At 61.2% G+C, this 19,123-nt stretch overlaps 1 protein-coding gene across 2 annotated transcripts, besides 1 other annotated feature; it reads right to left on the reverse strand.

Annotated features, from left to right (window-relative positions):
- Nucleotides 3,018-15,516, reverse strand: GATA5 (GATA binding protein 5). Of its 2 annotated transcripts, none has more exons than NM_080473.5 (7): nt 15,451-15,516; nt 14,520-15,063; nt 12,924-13,099; nt 5,947-6,072; nt 5,355-5,442; nt 4,861-4,985; nt 3,018-4,512 (listed from the first exon to the last, which is right to left on the reverse strand). In NM_080473.5, the coding sequence occupies exons 2-7, from the start codon at nt 15,040-15,042 to the stop codon at nt 4,357-4,359; spliced, it is 1,194 nt and encodes a 397-aa protein (NP_536721.1). In that variant the 5' UTR covers nt 15,043-15,063; nt 15,451-15,516; the 3' UTR covers nt 3,018-4,356. The 2 variants fall into 2 exon arrangements, with proteins under 2 accessions (NP_536721.1, XP_006723762.1); XM_006723699.3 differs by lacking the exon at nt 15,451-15,516 and adding an exon at nt 15,281-15,341.
- Nucleotides 13,124-13,784: an enhancer, noted in NCBI's record as "H3K4me1 hESC enhancer chr20:61048659-61049319 (GRCh37/hg19 assembly coordinates)". NCBI's record gives its function as "activates a minimal SCP1, AML or CMV promoter by ChIP-STARR-seq in primed H9 embryonic stem cells {active_cell/tissue: H9 hESC(primed)}" and the evidence as "EXISTENCE:reporter gene assay evidence [ECO:0000049][PMID:30033119]".

Genomic DNA, 19,123 nt, shown 5'->3' on the forward strand with positions numbered 1-19,123 from the left:
GGGCTCGAGTGATCCTCCCATGTTCCCTCCTTAATGAGCACGTTGCATGTTTCAGACAAACCTTAGAGGCATCATGGTCACTTAGCCATGAGCTGTCTTTTGCAACAGCAAAGGAGAGACTGACCCTCTCCCTGAGCCCACCCCTGGAAGCTGCGGTCCCAGCACAGTGGAGATGTGGTGTGTCCCCAGGACTCAGATGCCCGGTCGGGTTTATGCCTGTACAGGGCGGCTCTCGGGATCCAGTGTCCGTGTTTGGCCAAGACACACCTACGGGTGTCAAGGAGCACCCCGTTGGTTGGCCGCAGCCAGGTCCAGGAATGGTGGGAGAGTGAGGACGTGCCAGCCTCCGGGCCTGCTTTGAGGAGTGAGGGCTGCAGGCTCAGGGCCTGGGGTGCTTTCAGCCTTGCTGCTCTGCTCTGAATGAAGCCATAAATTAAGGGCTTGAAGCGGGAGGGCTCTATAAATGGTTCTGGGTCAGGAAGCCCCAGCTGACGGGGCTCTGCGTCTCTCTTCTTTTTCTATGCTGCCCATACTGTTTTGGGGCTTCACCAGGGCCTTCTCCCTCCCCCAGGGTGCCCAGGACCGAGCACCGAGGGTCTTGGTGGACACTTTCTGCAGGCTGGAGGGGCCGCTGCAAGGTCTTTGGGGATTTCCAGGTGCGGCGCCCTCCTCCTGAAGGCTGCCTGGGCATCTGCTTTAGTTCAAAAGGTGATGGGAAGTCAGTATGCCCAGGTCCAGGCAGTGCAGGTAAAGTGACTTTCCTTTTAGTCCTGTCGCTCTGATAAGGGGCCGGGCCACTTTGCCTGCCAACCTCCGGCTCGTCTGGTTGTTTATGGCTGGCTGGGCAGAGCGCAGGGAGGGCTGGTGGGAAGGAGAGTGCAGGGCGCCTGGCGGCTATATTAAGGCTCTGGTCCTCATGGCTTCCGCCCTAAGAGGAGAAAGGCTTAAATTTAGCAGCAGTGACCATGCCCAGAGGTGGAGCTGTCAGCCTCCGTCATCCCGGACACATCCCTAAAAATGGAATAAAAACAGGGAAAGGGTTGCTTCCCCTTTTCCCATGGGCAAATCCCCCTGTTCCCTTTGGGGACCTCCCTTCATGGATGGGGTGTGTCCAGGGCCACAGTCGGGTCAGCACTTGGACTCCTTCCACTCTACCTATGGGGACCCTGCCTGTCCTGCACGACCCCCACAAACACCTCCAGGAAGCCTCTCCAGGTAGGGATTGGTGCCTGGTGCCACCTCCCTATACTGGGGCCTCCTAGGGACCCGCCTTCTACACAAGTGCATGGATTACAGATATGGCCACGGATTTGTGGCACCCCCTCCCCAGCAGAGGTGGGGAAACCGAGGCCGGAACGGAAGCAACGTGGCCAGCTCCATTGCACCCAGCACTGTGGTCTGGGGACGCCGTGCTGTGCCCTCTGACCCTGGCACCTTGAGTCACCTCTCTGAGCCATGGTTTTTCTCATCAGGGAAGAGGAAAACCAACGCCTGCTTCCTGGGAGCGGGGAGTGCGAGGATGAGGCTGCGCAGTGTCCACCCAGCAGCAGGCATGGGGAGGCGCTGATGTGAAAACCACGACGCAGACAGTCACTGGCTGCCTCCTGCTCCAGGTCCTCAGCCCAGGCAGCTCTGCAGCTTCCCGCTTTCTCCCCCAGGCCGTCCTCAGGCCTCCTTCCTTCTGGGTCTGTGGCCCCCTCACCCCCTCACCCAGGGTCTGGGGTGCTGACAACAGGCTGGGCTGGCCTTACCTTCCATAGAGACGTGGATTCCCAAGGTCAGCCCTTCAGGTGGTAGAGGCAGCAACCGTCCAACCTGCGGGGGGACAGACTGTCCTTCCCCAGCTGTGGCCTGGCCTGGAGAGGCCTGGGAGGTCACTGCCACTGGTGAGGCCTGGGAGGTCACTGTCACCCATTTTCCCATTCAGGGACCCAACGCCCAGCATGAGCCCTGAGGCAGATGTGCAGGAGCTGGGTTGAGGGGGCGACCCTCAGTCCCTTGTGCCTCAGTATCCTCATTGTGCACGGGCACCCGGGAAGGCAGCCTGAGGCTTCTGGGTTTGGAAACAGGACAGTAGCAAGTGATCCCCAATGGTGCCCGGATGCCACATGTGACCCTTATGGGGATACAGGTGCCACCTTGCCCCAGCCCATTTCCCCGTCCCCCATCCCCAGGCCAGATGAGCAGGGCAGGGCAGGAACTTGAACTGGATTCGGACCCTGAAGCCATCATAGTGCAGGGTTTCTCAAAGTGTGGGCCCCCAGGCACCCAGCAGGTTTGAGGGGTTCATGTTTAAAATGCTGACTCCCGTGCCCACCTCAGATCCCACGGAGCTGAAAATCTCCCAGCATGGCTCCCACTGCATGGGCTAGAATGAGGGGCCTTGCCTGAGTTCTCTCTTGAGACAGGTCCAGTGGGGGGCAGGTGGCTGAGGAAGTTACTAGAGCTGCTCACAGCCCCCACCCCAGTGCCTAATAGGATGCAGGAGGTTGGGAGCAGACAGGGAAGGCTTCCAGGAGGAGGTGGGCTTGGCTAGGAGGAGGTTCTGAGCAGGGACCCAGCCTGTGGGAATGGAGGCGTTCACCAGCCCAGCCCCTCTGCTGCGCCTCTGGGCCAGGCCCCAGGCCTGTTGAGTGCCACTGCCGAGCCTCACACCTGCCCTGCCTGGCACCCCTCTCTCAGCCGCTGGGGACCTGGGGGATGCTGGTGGTCCTGAGCACCATCAGGGCCTGGAGATGTCCTTGAGGGCACCTGGGGGGACGCAGGGGACCGGGGATGTTTCAGAACGCAGAGGATAGCCGGAAATCGCTAGGAGGGTGGTGACCAGCAGGCAGGGCAGGACTTGGAGACCCCACGGGTGATGGGCAGGGGGAGATGGGAGACCCCACGGGTGATGGGCGGGGGGAGATGGGAGCACCCCTGGGTGATGGGTAGGGGGAGATGGGAGACCCCCCCGGGTGATGGGCAGGGGGAGATGGGAGACCCCATGGGTGATGGGCGGGGGAAGGGAGAGTGAGTGAGGTTCAAGGCTTTATTTCACTTTCCCTGTGGCTTCATTTGTCTCTTTTAGAAAAGATGACATCGCATAGAAGTGGGGCTGGAAGAACCTCTGGAGGGACAGTTTCAGAATGACCGGACCCGCTCCTGAAGCTGATGCCAGACAACTGTTTTTCAATATGGGGTGGTGCACTGGGGGTCTAGCTGGCTCACAATGTTAAAAATATTTTTGAATCAAATTGGAAGACTTAAAATCCAGGTTTCTGGCATTGCTGGAAAAATCAGGGCTTGTTGTTGAAGGGCAGCAGCCGGACGGAGGCGAGGATGTGCTCCCCGCAGGGCCCTGTGGCTGCCTGCCCCGCTCCTCTGCTCCCTGTGGCCTCCTGACATACATCACCGGCCATTCACAGCTGCGTCGGGTAGGGTGCCTCTCGCCAGCGTCACTCATTAAGGTATCATCCAACCCAGTGTGGAGGGGGCTTGCAAGAGAAAGAGGGGTCACTAACAATTCTCCTGGGACAAGAGACTAAACTGCGTGGCCCCAGATATGCCAGGACATGTGACCACGTCACCACCAGCCCCAACAGCGCTTGGATGGGTCAGGACAGGGCTACCAGACAATTCATTCTGCCTGTCAGAAATGGTCATGATACACAGATTCAGCTAGAACAAGGCCCTTTCCCATCCCCTCTGGAAAAACTGTCCAAACAAGTGCGTAAGTCTGTGATGACTGCAATGTGAGCGGCTTCCCCTCGGCGGAATCCTGGCACCGTGCGCGGCCCGCACTCCGATCCCTGGCAGTCCTGCACCTGTTGCGGGAAAAGTTCTCTGCACCACAGCTCCGTCTATCCATGTGGGCAATGAAGGACAGCCCCGAGGCCTCAGGAGGCCCATGTCCAGCTGCTCCCCTCATTCCTCTCCCCTGCTTGGCCTCAGGTGCTTCACTGGGAATCTTGGTTTTACACTGGGAGGTTGACTGTTTTCCCCCAACTGCTACAACTTGTAAACATATTGACGGTGAGCATTGATGACGGAATTCAAGTTGGTGGTGGTGGTGCCCTGCGTTGGCCTCCGCCGCAGGGGGCCAGTGTGGTCCGGAGCCTTGGGCCGCACCTGGGGAGTCCCTTGCTGTACGTGGGGTGGGAAGCTGAGCCCTTCCCTCACCAGCCTTCTTGCTCTGGGGCCCGACTGCCGTCTGTCCAGAAGGCCTCCCCACCACTGTGTGGAGACTCCAGCAGACCCAGTCTCTGGGTTGGGGGGCCTGCTGGTCTCTGCTGTGCTGGAGCAAAGCAGGCACGGAGGTGACTCAGTGGGTGGTCTGTTCCAGGCTGTTCCCCTGACATGGGCTGGCCTGGGGACCTAGGCCAAGGCCAGCGCACACCAGGCCTCTTGGCGCAGAGCCCCCCTGAGGCCAGCCTGGGGGCTTGGGGCCGTGGAGGGGAAGGCAAAGTCCTCAGGCTCGAACTTGAACTCCAAGTGGCCGGGGGCAAGAGAGTCATCCTCCTGGCCAGAGGCCTGCAGGGACAGGAGAGCGTGAGAATGTGGGGTGGGGCGTGGGGCGTGGGGGGCTGGGGGAAGCTGCAGCCTCTTAGGTCAGGAGCTCCCATGACCGGTATTTGCCCTTAGGGACCCCCTGATGCCCTGGAATGGCATGGGGGACCCCACGTGAGGCACTGGGGTTTCTCCCACATCTGGCACAGAGCCAGCTCTAGGGGAAGGGCCACCATACTGATGGCCGAAGGCAGCCGGTGTGTCCAGCCCACCTGCTGGAAGAGGCTCCGAGGGGCTCTGATGGGATCTGACTTGGCGGAGGAAGCACAGGGGCCCCAGCTCTGGGCACCCCACCCCAGCCCACCCCCTTACCTGGGGGGCCATGCTGGGCCCAGGGCACACTGGGGACGCCAGGCTGGGCTTGGCTTTCGAAGTGGCTGCTGAGCTGTCAGTGCTGGCGACAGCAGATGGGGAGGCCGAGGCATTCCTTGTGGATCCTGGAAGCGAAGAGGGGGTGTTTACAGAGGGGTCAGGTGTGGCCTCACTTCCCCTTCCTGCCATGTAGCGGGTCTCCTCTGGCCCCGGCCCAGAGAGGTTTGGAGACTCCTCACGGTCACACCGCAGGCGTGGGTGGTGTGGCCGGGCGTGGCTTCTTTGGCCCCACCTCTGCCCCTGCTGCCCACATGCTGTCACCACCCTGGCACCCCACACCCCCCCCAGCAAGGTCACCACAGGGCAGAGCTGGGGGCATTTGGACTTCCAGAGGACTGTGCTTGAACCAAACACACAGGTCTCTCATGACGGAACTGGAGGCACCGAAGGCCACTCCGCAGGAGCGGGGCTGACTGCAGGGCCTGGCCACGCACCTGAGGAGCCCCTGGCCTTGGCGATGGTCTTTGGCTTCCGCTTCCGTGTCTGGATGCTTTCCTTCTTCATAGCCAGAGGCCGCGGCACCTGGCAGGGGTGGCGAGGGTGGAGGCTGGTCCCATCCCTGCTCACCCCGGGCCCCTTGCACAGCACCCCCTCATTCCAGCCCCCCAGAGCCGGTCACTCCTGGAGCTGGCTGTGTCCTCACAGCCCTGGTGGGTCAGCTGCCAGCTGGGCTGGGTGAGGGGGAGCCCGTGGAGCTGGATTCCCATTCCCCCGTCCGACAGAGCTGCCAGGGGCCAGAAGGCACCAGGGGTGCCCAGAGGGCAGGAGCAGTGTCCTTGTCTGGCCCAGGCCGAATGGCTGTGGTGAGCCTCAGTCAGCGCGTCTGTGCCGTGAGTGTAACAGGAATAGCCCGGGCCCCCGGGGGTGGTGCCGCAGTCGGCCGGCCGGGACATGTGTGTACAACAGCCCAGGGGACAATAGCCATCCTGCCCGCTCCTCCCCAGCCTCTTGGTCTGAGAGTGCGGACGGCGCTCGCTAGGAGGCTGGACAGAGGCCTCCCCGCCCTGCCCCGGGGACCACACTCACCCCGTGCAGCTTCATGTAGAGGCCGCAGGCATTGCACACGGGCTCCCCCTCCGAGTTCCGCCGCCACAGCGTGGTGTTGGTCGTGTGGCAGTTGGTGCAGCAGAGGCCGGCGCGGCGGGACGAGGACTGTGGGGGCGAGGGAGACTGGAGTGAGCCCCGGGCCGGGTGCGCGGCTGGAGCAGGGGGACGGAAGCGAGACTCAGGTCGGCCTTGCGGCCACGCAGGACCCGGTGAGAAGGTCGTGAGCTCTGCAATGGCCTCGCCTGGCAGCTCTGCCTGGACACGCTCTCGAGCCCTGGGAAAGGTAACTTTACCTTCCTGGGCCTCAGTTTCCCCCCAAGTAAAAAGGGGGTGATAACAGACCCACCACAGGCCAGTTGTGGGGTTCAGAGCCCGTGGGGGCCAGGCACCTAGACACGGCAACGGTTTCCCTATTGTCTCTTTATCACCAACCCTGCGCCTGGACCCCGCGGTTCTGCAGTGCAGCAGCACTCCAAGGCCACAGGGTCCCCCGGAGGCCAAGACACAACAAGCGTCAGGGCCTGTGGTCCCCCTGGACACCCGCCTCCCAGGCCGGGGGGCCCCACCGGACAGAGGCTGAGGGCTCCGGGTCCCACCTGCCTATGTCTCCCCATTGCTGTGCACTGCGCCTGGTGGTGGAGCAAGACTAGACCCATCTGGAACCTTCCAGAGGCTCCAACATTGCCTCCCTCCTTCCCGTGGCTCTCAGTAGAGACTGACCCCAATCTGGCAGGCCCGGGTCCAATCAGAGGTCCCAAACCTCCAGGGCCCCAGTCCGTGAGCTCAGCTGGGGCTCAGGAATCTGAACTGAGGGAGGCCTGGGAGGCTCTGAGCTGGCTGCCTGGGGAGTCCCTGTTGAAGGTGGACCAGGGGCCTCCCACCAGCTCAAGCCAGCCTTTCTCCCACTGGCCGCACAAGTTGGTGCTTGGAGGGAGGTGGTGTTTGGGAGCTCGGGAGCTCCAGCCCAGGGCCCCAGAGGCACCTCAGACTTGAAGCCCTTTCCCGAATCTCAGAGCACAGCTCTGCTGGTGGCACCACCCTTCCCAGCCACTTGTCCCCAGACCTGGTTCTCCTGGGGGGCTGCTGTTTCTACCCCCAGCCCCTACCCTGACCCCATCGGTCCCCTTCCCTCAGGTTGCACAGCCCCTGCCTGGTCCAGGTCCCCGGCCTCTCTTGCCAGGATCACAGTGGTGGCTCTGCAGGAGCTCTCTCCTGCCCTCCCGGCGGCAGCCAGGGCCAGACCATCAGTGTGCCTCAGGCACAGGACGCAGCCCATGAGAATGGGCCCCCCACACTCAAAGCCATGCCCCCAGATTCTCTAGCCAGGACAGAGCCAGACAGCAGGCACAAGTGAGCCAGCCACACTAGGGGAAAAGAATCCATCCTGGACGAGGGCTGAGCAGACACAGCCAGCCTCGGCTTCCCCGTCTGTGTCTGTTACTTACGTGAGCAGACACAGCCAGCCTCAGTTTTCCTGTCTGTTACAGCCCACCTCGGTTTCCCCATCTGTTACAGCCCTCTATGAACAGACACAGCCAGCCTCGGCTTCCCCGTCTGTTACAGCCTGCCTCGGTTTCCCCATCTGTTACAGCCCTCTATGAGCAGACACAGCCAGCCTCGGCTTCCCCGTCTGTTACAGCCCGCCTCGGTTTCCCCATCTGTTACTGCCATGAGCAGACACAGCCAGCCTCGGCTTCCCCGTCTGTTACAGCCTGCCTCGGTTTCCCCATCTGTTACAGCCCTCTATGAGCAGACACAGCCAGCCTCGGCTTCCCCGTCTGTTACAGCCTGCCTCGGTTTCCCCGTCTGTTACTGCCATGGGCAGAAACAGCCAGCCTCGGTTTCCCCATCTGTTATAGCCTGCCTCGGTTTCCCCATCTGTTACTGCCCTCTATGATCAGATGAGGGCCGGCCTTGCTGACCATCTCCTGCCTACCCTTCCCCCAGGCTGCTGCCAAGGGCACAGGCCGTCCTGTCGAAGGCCTGAGTGGGAGAGTGGGGGCCTCCCTGCAGCCCTGAGTACCAGCCAGCCCCCAAACTCAAGGCCCCCTCAACCCCCAGCCACAGCTGCAGGCAGTTGCCAAAGGCTCTGGGAACGCTGCCCCTGCTTCATCTGGGGCCAGGCCTCCTGTCTCCAGGCAGGACCCTGCCCTGAGCTCCATGACAAAGGGGCAGAAAGGAAAGGAGGGGGCCAGGCCAATGAGGCCGGGGAGGCTTGAGAGGTGCCTCAGCTTGCAGCTCCTGGCCTGACTGCGGAGGACAATGTCTCCCACCCTGGGCCAACAGCATCCAGCCACTCAGGGTCTCCAGTGGTCTCTCTAGGGGGATGCTGGGGGTGAGACTTCTGCTCACGCTGGAGGGCCCAGCCCAGGCCCCAGCAGAGCTGGGAGGGAGATGGTGCCTGGCCCCGGCTGGATGGTGGGCACCCTTCGTGCAGGAGCAATTGGGGTCACCCAGGGCCCCCAGATGGTGTCTCTCCCTGGGATGCCCCCTGCCACACCCTGATGGGTCTAGAAGCAGCTACTGTTACTGGACAGGATTTGAGTTTGGTCCAGCCTCCCTCTCTTCTATCCTCGTCAGGTGCCAGGTGCTGTGGCTGCTTTCTTGGTGGCCTCAGGCCACTGTCCAGCATGAGGCATGGTCTCCTTCCCACCTCTCGGACACCCACCCATCCGTCTGTCTTCCTGAAGTGGAAAGAAATCTCCCCCAGGGCTGCCAGACGGATTGACCCAGGATGCCTAGGTAAATGTGAATTTCTGCCTAGGTAAATGTGAATTTCTGATACATGATGAATCCTTTGTCTCCTGCAGTATTTGGGACATGAATGCTAAAATATTTGTGTTTATCTGAAATCACATGGAACCGTGTGTGGCCTGGAGTTTATTTGCTGACTCCCTCCTTGTGCCCCAGCAGTCCCCGCCTTCAGACTGAGGGGCATCCATGGCCCAAGGCCCATCCTCTTCCCTGAACCAGAGGGACCCTCGGGTCTGGGACCGGCCATCACCCCTTAGCACACACAGATAGGGGTGCACACACATGAGCACACTCCACACGTCCCCGCACAGCTGCCAGCACGCCCCGACGGAGCCACGTCTGAGACACGGGTTGTGGAAAGAAACAAGGTGGGGCGCGCAGGACGTGCGTGGGTTGGGACAGCCCCCAGCAGCGGGCACACCCCTCACCCCGCACCCCTGCGAGTGCCAGGGAAACACCTGGAACCCACCTTGAATGTTTTCACAGTGAGCATGTTTCATGTCTATCAAATTAAGACAATGGGAAAAACATGGACCTCACAACACTTTTCAAAGTGCGTCTTCACCTACCCTTTCCTAAATCTTCACCAGATCGCTATTGTACGAGTGGGAGGCTGAGGCTCAGAGGAGCTGCGGGACCAGAGGAAACTGGGGAGGCCCGGGGTGGACAGAACCGCCCCCCTCGGCCAGGTACTTAGGGGACACGCTCCCAGCAGCTTGCCCGCGCTGGGGCTCCCTGTGCCACCATACCGCGACGATGCCTTCATTTGTCCCCTCCTCACTGCCCAACAAGCAGCCCAGCCTGGCCACACTCAGCACCCTGCCCCCCAGGCCTCTCTCCCGGCTGCATTTCGTTTTTCTTTTTTGTCGGTTCTTTTCAAAAGAAGTCAAACTTCAAAGCCTCCTTGCGCGCAGCAGAGCCGCTCTAAGCACCAGGCTCTGTGTGCATCTGAGACATCCAAATAAATCAGGCTCTGGGCAGGGCAGGGCCCGGGCCGGTGCTGGCGGAAATTCAAGGAAGGCGGGAGAGGGAAGGAGGTTCGAGCCTGGCTTGGAGGGATGAAGCGCACACGCCGGGAAACACTTTGGAGTAAAGGTGCAGGTCACAGTGACCCGCAGTGCAGCAGCCTCCTCTGAGATGGAAGACTGGGCCGTGGACAACCAGAGGCTGCTGTGCCGCAGAGTCTGAGCCTTGGGGACGGGTGAGTGGCTGGAATGTCTCCAAATTCAAACAGGTCCCCTCCTGGAGGGGGGATGTAGTAAGCACTTGATACAGTGCCCATGCCCCTTGCTGGCCGAGGACAAACTGACTTGGGGACGTGGGTCTGTGAAGGGCTCGAAGGAAGGAAACCCTGGGGTTGGGTGGGTGTTAGGTGCCTGACTCCAGGTAAGGACCAGTCTTGCTCAGCGGGAAGGGACGCTTGGCTCCATGCAACACTGGGCTACTTCCTGGAGCTGGTGCCAGAGGTGGCTCAGGGCTAGGAGGTCTGCTGTCCGCACTGCCCTTGGCTGCCGGGCCCCAGGCTTCAGCCGAGGCTTCAGTGTTCTTGGGGGTGGGCTGCTTGGGGCCCAAGAGCTCCCAACCGTGTCCGAGCACAGAGCCAGACCATGGGGAGAGGGCACGGTGGTCCCTACCCTCCGAGGCCTCTGGTCTTGGCAAGATGGACAGTAAACAGGGTCCTCCCCCAGGAGGCACCCCAAAGCCCACCCTGTCTACCCCAGACCAGGGAATGGAGGCCTCATCACGCCAAGGGCCCCCATTAGCCCGTCCTCAGAGCCAAGGCCCAAGCACACAACACCAGCTAATTTAACTTTTACAGCAAGGTGTGGACGGTTCCAAGTTCCTCTCCCCACTTCTCAGATGAGGAGACAAAGGCTCAAAGAGCTGGGGAACTGTCTACGAGATGCCCCAGCCCAGGAGTCTGGGATCCAACTGGACACAGGTATTGCCCGGCTGGAAGACCCAGGGCAGGGCAGGGCAGCAGGAGGGGCTCCCTCCTAGCAGCTCCTCCTGACACCAGAGTGTCCCGGTGCTCAGTTCAAGGCCTGGCAGTGGGGAGAGTGGATACAGCCAGAGGAGGGGCAGCCCTTTGCATGGGTGAGGGTGAAGGGAGGTCTGGGCTGCAGTCTCACGGGAGCTGGGCTGAGCTCCCTACCACTTCTCTTTTTTAAAAAAAAATTTAATTTAACTTAAAATGTAATTAAATTAAAGAGAAGTTAATTTCAATTACAATTTTTTTTTTTTTTTTTGTGATGAGGTCTTGCTCTGTTGCCCAGGCTGGAGTGCAGTGGTGCCATCTCGGCTCATTGCAGCCTCAGCCTCTCAGCTCAAAAGATCCTCCTGCCTCAGCCTCTCAAGTAGCTGGGACCATGGGTGTGTGCCATCGTGACTGGCTAACTTTTAAATTTTTTGTAGAGACCTGGTCTCCCTATGTTGCCCAAGCTGGTTTCGAACTCCTGGGCTCAAGTGATCCTCCTGCCTTAGCCTCCCAAAGTGCTGGGATTACAGGCATGAGCCATTGCACAGGACCAATTTATTTATTTTTAGAGACAGAGTCTCCCTCTGTTGCCCAGGCTGGAGTGCCTTGGTGTGATCATAGCTTACTATACCCTTGAACTCTTGGGCTCAAGTGATCATCCTGCCTCAGCCTCCTGAGTAGCTGGGACCACAGGTGTGTGCTACCATGTCTGACTAATTTCTTTTTTTTTTTTTTTTTTAAATTTTTAGTGGAGATGGGTTCTTGCTATGTTGCCCAGGCTGGTCTCGAACTCCTGAGCTTAAGCAATCCTCCTGCTTCAGCCTTCCAAAATTCTGGGACTATAGGTATGAGCCACCGTGCCTGGCCCCTAACCCCTTCTTAACCTCAGTGGTTAACCCCTCAGTGAGGGCCACGTGGACGCCAGGCTGGAACAGCACACCTGGGAGCACAGGCAGAGTCACAGCGGCACACAAGCCAAGAGGGGGATGGACTCCTAGGAGCCTTCCCTCCGAGAGGCAGGCATGGGAGGAGGCTGGGCCTGCAGAGCCCCAGGCCCTAGGCCAGCTCCAAGGAAGAGAAGTGACGGCCGCCCCCGGCCTGTGGTCCTGCTTCCCACCACCTGCTCCACTGGGACCTCCCACGCTCAGGTCCTGGTCCCCCACAGCCCAGGGCCCCAGGATTTCCCCTCAGCCTGTAACTGAGGGATGTTCAGAGCTGCACCGGCATAGCACGCGAATCCAGGCATCTAGAACAGCCACCCGGCAAGGACAGCGGCAGGAGGGCTGGCCTCCACCCAGGGTGACGGCGGGAGCTGGCTGATCGACCCCGCACGGAGTCCACACCACCAGCGGAGGAGGACTTGGTGCCCAGGAACATACCCTTGCTCAGCCTTCTGACCCAGGTGCCACTGTGGCCTCCCCAATTTTAGATAACTTGCAAACGACATCAACACCCCAAATCCTTATTTGTACAATTACTCGAAAGTAAAGGTTTGCCTGGGGAAACGTATAGAACAAAGCAACTTTCAGCCTCTTCCAGCCTCTGGGGACTGTGCCCTGCCTGGGGCAAAAGTCCAGGCTCCGGAGTCCCCCACTCCCTGCTCAGCCACAAGCCAGGAAGAACCAAAAGTGAAAACAAGTTTAGCCCATGAGGCAGAGGACAGGCATAAACCTGGTGTCCCTGCGGTCCCTGAAATATGGGTAGAAAGTGCTCCCCGAGGGGACTACAGACCCAAAGACTCTCCAGTTTCAGATTTCAAGGCCCTTCAATCAAGTATCCAGCAGCCACCTTCCCTCAAGCCTCATCCCAGGTAGGGTCACCTTGAGGCCTCCGAGACAGGGCCAGGCCACAGCCAGCCACCACCGACTCGTAGGGCTGAGCTCCTGGCTCCTGGCAGCAGGCCTTCTTGGACCCAGCACTCAGCTGAGCCTGGCTGACACCGTTGCTCCAGAGCCTGGGCTCCTGGCCCCCAGAGCGCTCCAGGGCTGGGCGCTATGAGCTGGTGGCCCCTGGCATCCCCACTGGGATCCCCTGCCCTGCCCTGAGCGCTCTCAAAGAAGACCTGAGCCGGCCTGACCTGACCCACCGGGGCGGGCACCCAGGCTGTTTTTGGGACACTCCCTACCCCCTACCCCAGGGGCTCTGGTGTCACCTGGGTGGATTGCAAGAGGTCCCCTCGGGGGAGCACTGCGCCCAGGCGCCCCTCTGCCCAGCCCGAACTCACCAGGCGCTTCTGAGGCCGAACGAGCGGCCGGTTGACGCCATTCATCTTGTGGTAGAGGCCGCAGGCATTGCACAGGTAGTGGCCGGTGCCGTCTCGGCGCCACAGCGGTGTGGACAGGGCCCCGCAGTTGACACACTCACGACCCTCACCCGGGAACTCCTCCAAGAAGTCGGACACTGAGGGGACAGGCAGCTGGTGGGCCCGGGCCCTCCCCTCCCCAGGATCCTCCCCAGCTCATGGGCCGGCACCCTCCCCTCCCCAGGAGCCTGGCGGCTTTCGTCAGACGAATAAACTTAAGGCACAAATCTTGTGCCTTAGATGTATTTTATTTTAAAATTTATTTGCTTACTTCATCTTATTTTTAAATTTTTAATTCACATACGATAAAATTCGCTAGGGTTGGTTTTTCGAGGATGGGGTGTTAATAAACAGAACCTGAAGACAGACACCTGGGACTCCCGGCTCCGGGACCGGGGGCCAGCACTGGCCTCTGCCTGTTTGACCTGCTGGGAAAGCAGGGTGTCTACACTGGCGGGGGAGGTGGATGAAGTGGTGTCTACACTGGCAGGGGAGGGATGAAGGGGCTTTATCTGGCAGACACTCTTGGGCGCCCCTGGGCTCTCCTGGGAACGCTAACCCCGCTGTCCTCCTGTTCTGCAAAGCGGGTCCATGACAGGGGTGGGGGGTTGGGAGGGTGGAGGAGGTGCCTTCTGTCAGCTTGGCTGTGGTCGCAACCAGTGTCCTTCCTTTAGAAGGCCAGCCCCGCCTCACAGCCCCCTGGGGCCGGGCTTCGCACACTGTGCGGCTGGGGGTGGAGGTCTTCCTGGTCCCCTCCAGGCCCGGCCCGGCGCCGGCGCGAGGGAGGCCCGGGCGCCGAGTGGGGGTGGGGCAGGGATCAATCATCGCCCCGCCGGGGGTGGGCGCCAGCAGCCGGGCTGTCCAGGGAGGCGGGGGCCAGGGGTCCTGCGGATGCCGCTGCGCCCGCTTCCTGCGCCAAAGGGCCGGCGGGGTCCCAAAGGCAGCTCCGGAGCTGGGTGTCGAGGCCTCCAAGGTCCCGGAGGGACGGGATGGGCCCCTGCGGAGCTCAGAGGAGCCGCCTTCGCCAGAAAGTGACTACGCTGCAACCGGGAAGAGCCGCTCCCCTCACAGGCCGAGAATCCGATTCTCCAAACTGATACTCGGGAAGCGACTGAAACCAGGTCTCAAATTAAAATCAGTAAACGTCCTAGAACCGAGACGAATGTGGCCACTTAAATAAACCGATGTTTTGGGCTTTATAAAAATCGTTTCCAAAACTTTTCAAAAACAAAAACAAAAACGATTAAGACTTTTGAGGCTCCACATTGGCACAATCCGGAATGCTGTTTGGAAATAGATGTTCCTTCTCATTAACAGGTTAAAACAGAATTCTGGATGGGTGTTTCCCGTGCGGGGTGTTACCCAGGTTTACTCGTCTCGCCCCGGGGCTGCTGGTGTCGCTCCTGGCAGGGAGGCTCGGACCGTGGGGGAGGATGAGGGGAGCGTTTCGCAGGGTGCGGGTTTGCACCCGGATTCGGCCGCTCCTGGGCCCCGAGACTGTGGAGCCCCCGCACTCACCGAAGGTGGGCCTGCGGCCTGGGAGGCCGTGCAGGACGCTGCCATCGAAGGGCCCGGCAGTCCAGGACTGGGCCACGTCGGGGCTCACGTAGGCCGGGTAGGTGGCGGAGTACGAGGTCCCCACCGGCCGCCCAAGCGGGGCCGCGAACTGTTCTCGAGGCAACAGCGCGCCCTGGTAGGCACTGCCGTCTCGGCCCCCCGCGCTGCCGCCGCTGCCGGGCCCCGAGGGGCTGTGCGCGAAAGGGAAGGCGGTGGCCCCGGGCGGGTGCGCGGCTGGGGGGTGCGGACTGCCCGGGCCGAAGGCCGACGAATCCGCGGTGGCTGTCTGCGCCCAGCCGGGGCGCGCAGCGAGCTCGGGGGGCTGCGGGCTCGGCTCACACCCGGACAGGTAGGACAGCATCGAGGGGACGCGCGCCGGCGGCACAAACATCGGAGAGCCGGCGCCCGGAGCGTGCAGGAAGGAGCCCGAGTCGGCGTAGGCGGCCTGGCGGGGGCTCGCGGCCAGCGCCAGGCTCTGGTACATCCTCCCAGGCGTGGTCTTGACCTGCAGGGAAGAGGGACAGGTGTGGAGGTCACGGGAGCTCTGCGCCCTCCGCCAGCGCCCGAGCTTATGCCGGGCAGGTGCCGCCGCTTCGGGCAGCGCTTCCCAGTCCCCAGCCCGGGACGTTCGCGGGGCGGGTCCCCGAACCCGAGGGAGAGGAACCGCGGGGATGGGAGAGGCCAGCGCGTCATCCCCGGGGCAGTCACAACGCCGAGCCCACCTCCTCCCCGACCGGGCTTCGGAGGTCCCCGGGGTGAGCTCGGTGGGGGCCTGGGAAGGACGGGCCTGGCGCGGCCGCAGGACGCAGGGCCTGGAGAGCGGGGCCCCGCCGCGCTGGGAGGGGCCGGGTGGGGAGGGGCGCGCGGCTGCAGCCCGGGCTGGAGCACTCACCAGCGGGCAGGGAGGGCGGCAGGGCACGGCGGTGGCGGTGGGTCGGCGACCGGCGGGCCGAAGACTGGAAGCCCGGGCCGCTGAGGCTCCGCAGCCCCCTCCGCGCCGCCCCGGCCCGCCCCCGCCGCGCCGCCCCTTCCCTCCCCGCGCCCGCCCCTTCTTCCCCGCAGGGTCAGCGCTGGGGCTCCGGCCGTAGAGCCACGTGACCCTGGCAGGCCCTGCTCGCGGGGCTTGGCGACAAGGACGCACGACACGGGGCGGCCAGCGCGGAGCCCGGACCAGTGCAGCTAGACGGGCGGGCCGAGGGCTTCGTGGGCCCCGGGGAGTCGGGCGCAGAGACTTCTCCAAGTTTGTGCGAGTCCCGAGCCCTCTGCCTCCCTGCCCCGGCCCCCGCCGAAGGCTGGCCTAAAGACGGGCTCCGTGTCTGGTGGCTGAGTCGGTGATCCCGGCCCCGCTCACCGATGGACACGCGGCGGTGGAACCCCGTGGGCCCCCTCGTTGCGTGGCCGCACCCGGGGCTCGGTGCAGGGAACCGGCTTCCATAGGGACGGCCGGCTCGGGTCGCTGGACTGGGACGGGGTGCACTGGCGGGAGCCCCGCGATTTCCTCGGTTTCTGAGCAAGCGGGGCCACAAGGCTCGGGGTCCCAGTGGGAGGTGGGCAGGGTCCAGCCTCTAAGGCCCGATCTGGGTGCCAGGCTCGAAGGCCCCAACCCCGGTGGGGCTCTCAGCCGGCTCTCGGGGACTCGGGAAGAGTTTCCTCCAGGCGCCAGAAATGCGTGTGGGTAGGAGGCGACCCAGGTCAGGGAACCGTGTCCCGCTCGCACTCCCGGTGAGGGCTGCATGGAGGCGCCGCTGCCGCGGAGCAGCTCCGCAGGTTGCGGGAAACGGAACGGCGGGCTCGGAGCACACCGGGTGGACCCAGGCTTGGCGGCCATGAAAGTTCTTTTTTTCTTTTTTTCTTTCTTTCTTTCTTTCTTTCTTTCTTTCTTTCTTTCTTTCTTTCTTTCTTTCTTTCTTTTCTTTCTTTCTTTCTTTTTTCTTTCTCGGAGCACACCGGGTGGACCCAGGCTTGGCGGCCATGAAAGTTCTTTTTTCTTTCTTCCTTCCTTTCTTTCTTTCTTTCTTTCTTTCCTTCCTTCCTTCCTTCCTTCCTTCCTTCCTTCCTTCCTTCTTTCTTTCTTTCTTTCTTTCTTTCTTTCTTTCTTTCTTTTCTTTCTTTCTTTCTTTCTTTCTTTCTCGGAGCACACCGGGTGGACCCAGGCGTGGTGGCCATGAAAGTTCTTTTTTCTTTCTTCCTTCCTTCCTTCCTTCCTTCCTTCCTTCCTTTCTTTCTTTCTTTCTTTCTTTCTTTCTTTCTTTCTTTCTTTCTTTCTTTCCTCCCTCCCTCCCTCCCTCCCTCCCTCCCTCCCTTCCTTCCTTTTGCGGAGTCTCGCTCTGTCTCCCAGGCTGGAGTGCAGCGGCGCGATCTCAGCTCACCGCCTCCCAGGTTCAAGCGATTCTCCTGCCTCAGCTTCCTGAGTAGCTAGGACTACAGGCACCCGCCACCACACCCGGCTAATTTTTGTATTTTTAGTAGAGACGGGGTTTCACCATGTTGGTCAGGCTGGTCTCATCGAGCTCCTGACCTCAGATGATCCGCCCGCCTCAGCCTCCCAAAGTGCTGGGATTACAGGCGGGAGCCACCGCATGAAAGTTCTTCCTTGCAGAAACGGGCCCTCAACTCCTGTCAGTCAGGGCTCGGAGAGGACGCTGGTGAAGGGTGAAGACCTGGGAAGGCAGGAAGGCGGCGATGTGGGGCCGTCGGGGTGGGTGTCACTGGATCCCCCCCACGGGGGTCTGGACAGCCGGCGCTGTCCGTCTGGGAAGAGCTGGGGTGCCCCACATGCGCCCTTATTCCTGGCCTTTCCTCTTCGCCCACAGCAGATAAGGATTCAGGGTGCTTGTGGAGGCGTCCAGGGTCCCTGCGTCTGGGAAGGCAGCAGGCTGAAGCCCCTGGTCTGTGGTGGACTTGGGACCCCACAGACGGTTCCGCAGCAGGTTCAGGCCTGTGCAGGAGAGGGTGCAGCGCGGCAGGCTGGGGTGGGGGTCGGCTGCCATTGGGGTAGGGAGCTAGGCGACCTTCCGTTACCCCTTTACCAGCTCCCAGCCCCTCCTCGCCAGCTTCCCACCAGATGCTCCCTCCTTTCCTGTCCTCAGAAGCCTGGTTGCTGCTTGCCCTGTGTGGACTCCCCTGCCTTCTGCTCTCCCGGCACTCTGGGTCTCCGCGAGGGTCTCTCTTTGACCCCACACGTGCAGACTTTGTCTGTGGATGGCAGTGCACTCCACGAAGGGGTGGAGAGGTGCCGGGGCCTCGGTGCGGGCGAGAGGGCGCAGTGCAGTCCAAGCGGCTGCAGAGGGCTCTAGCGCAGCAAAGCTGGTTGGACCCAAGCTCTGACCCCTCTGCCCTCAAAGCCCGGGTTACCGAGCCCTCATGAGCACCAAGAACGAAGAGAAGTAAAAAGGGACACTTGTGACCTGCTGGGGGCTGAGCCACCGCTAACCCCAAGAAAAGTCTAGAGAACAAGAAAAGAACCACAGCAAACCTGGGACCCTGCAGGACGAATCGGGGAGGGATTCGTGCTTTTTACTTGCAATAAAATCTGTAAAGTTCTTGAATAGGAAACACCAACATTGCCCGGGTGCTGTGCTTTGTCCTGACATTTCCATTTAGTCCTCACATCAGTCTTATGCAACAGATCACATTATCATTCCTATATACAGATGGAGAAATGGAGCGCAGAGAGGTGAGCTAACCTGCCCCAGGCCACACAGCTAGCAATTAAACAAGCCAATTAAAACAAAGAAGGGAGTCTCTGAGTGATAGTGGTTGGTTGCTTTCTTGAGTTAATAAATATCTACAATGGACATTTGTATTAAACCCTGGGCCTCCATGAAGGGCGGGGAAGGGAAAATTTACCCTTCGAAGGCTCCTCCGAGGCGGCGCCCCACACAAGGCAGGACAGGGCTGGGGGTCCGGGGCTGTTCTGGTCACTTGGTGCCCTGCTAGGCGAGTCACAAGCTCACCTGCTCTGCAGCAGCAGCAGAAGCCACTGGTGGCGTGTTTTCCACGTGGATCCAGCTGCCTCCACAGTGACTGGTGGGGGTGGGCACCCATCCGTGGGGGTTGTCTGTGACAGTATCTGGACCCCCTCTCAGACCTGTTTCTACTTGAGCCAAAAAGTGAGGAGTCTCGGCTCAAACCTCAAAACCCAGGTGCCCCCGACGTCCTCGATCCCCACGAACCATGCTTCCGTGCAGCTCTCCACTCCCGGTGCTCTGGGCCCCTCAGGAAGGAGGTGGCCCCTGAGCCAGGTGACCCAGTCCACCAGGCTACCCCACCCAGCAGCAAGCCCTCTTCTCCCCTGGACCCCGCCCATGCTGCTTCCTGAATGGGCCCTTTGCCCTCTTCTCTTCTTGCCAAACTCCTACACATCCTTCAAGGCCCGTCTTGCAGGTCCCTTCCTGTCCCTTCCCCTACGTTGCTCTCCCCTTCCTGGTGCCTCATTGTGCGGTGTGGTCAGATGGCTGTGTGCCTCCGTCTTGTCACCTTAGCAGAAGCTGAGTCAGGAGAACAGCTTCAGGAACAGCGGGTCAGGGCATCGAGCGGGCACAGTCAGAACTTTGGGACTCAGC

Source organism: Homo sapiens, chromosome 20 (assembly GCF_000001405.40).
Source record: "Homo sapiens chromosome 20, GRCh38.p14 Primary Assembly".
NCBI lineage: Eukaryota > Metazoa > Chordata > Mammalia > Primates > Hominidae > Homo > Homo sapiens.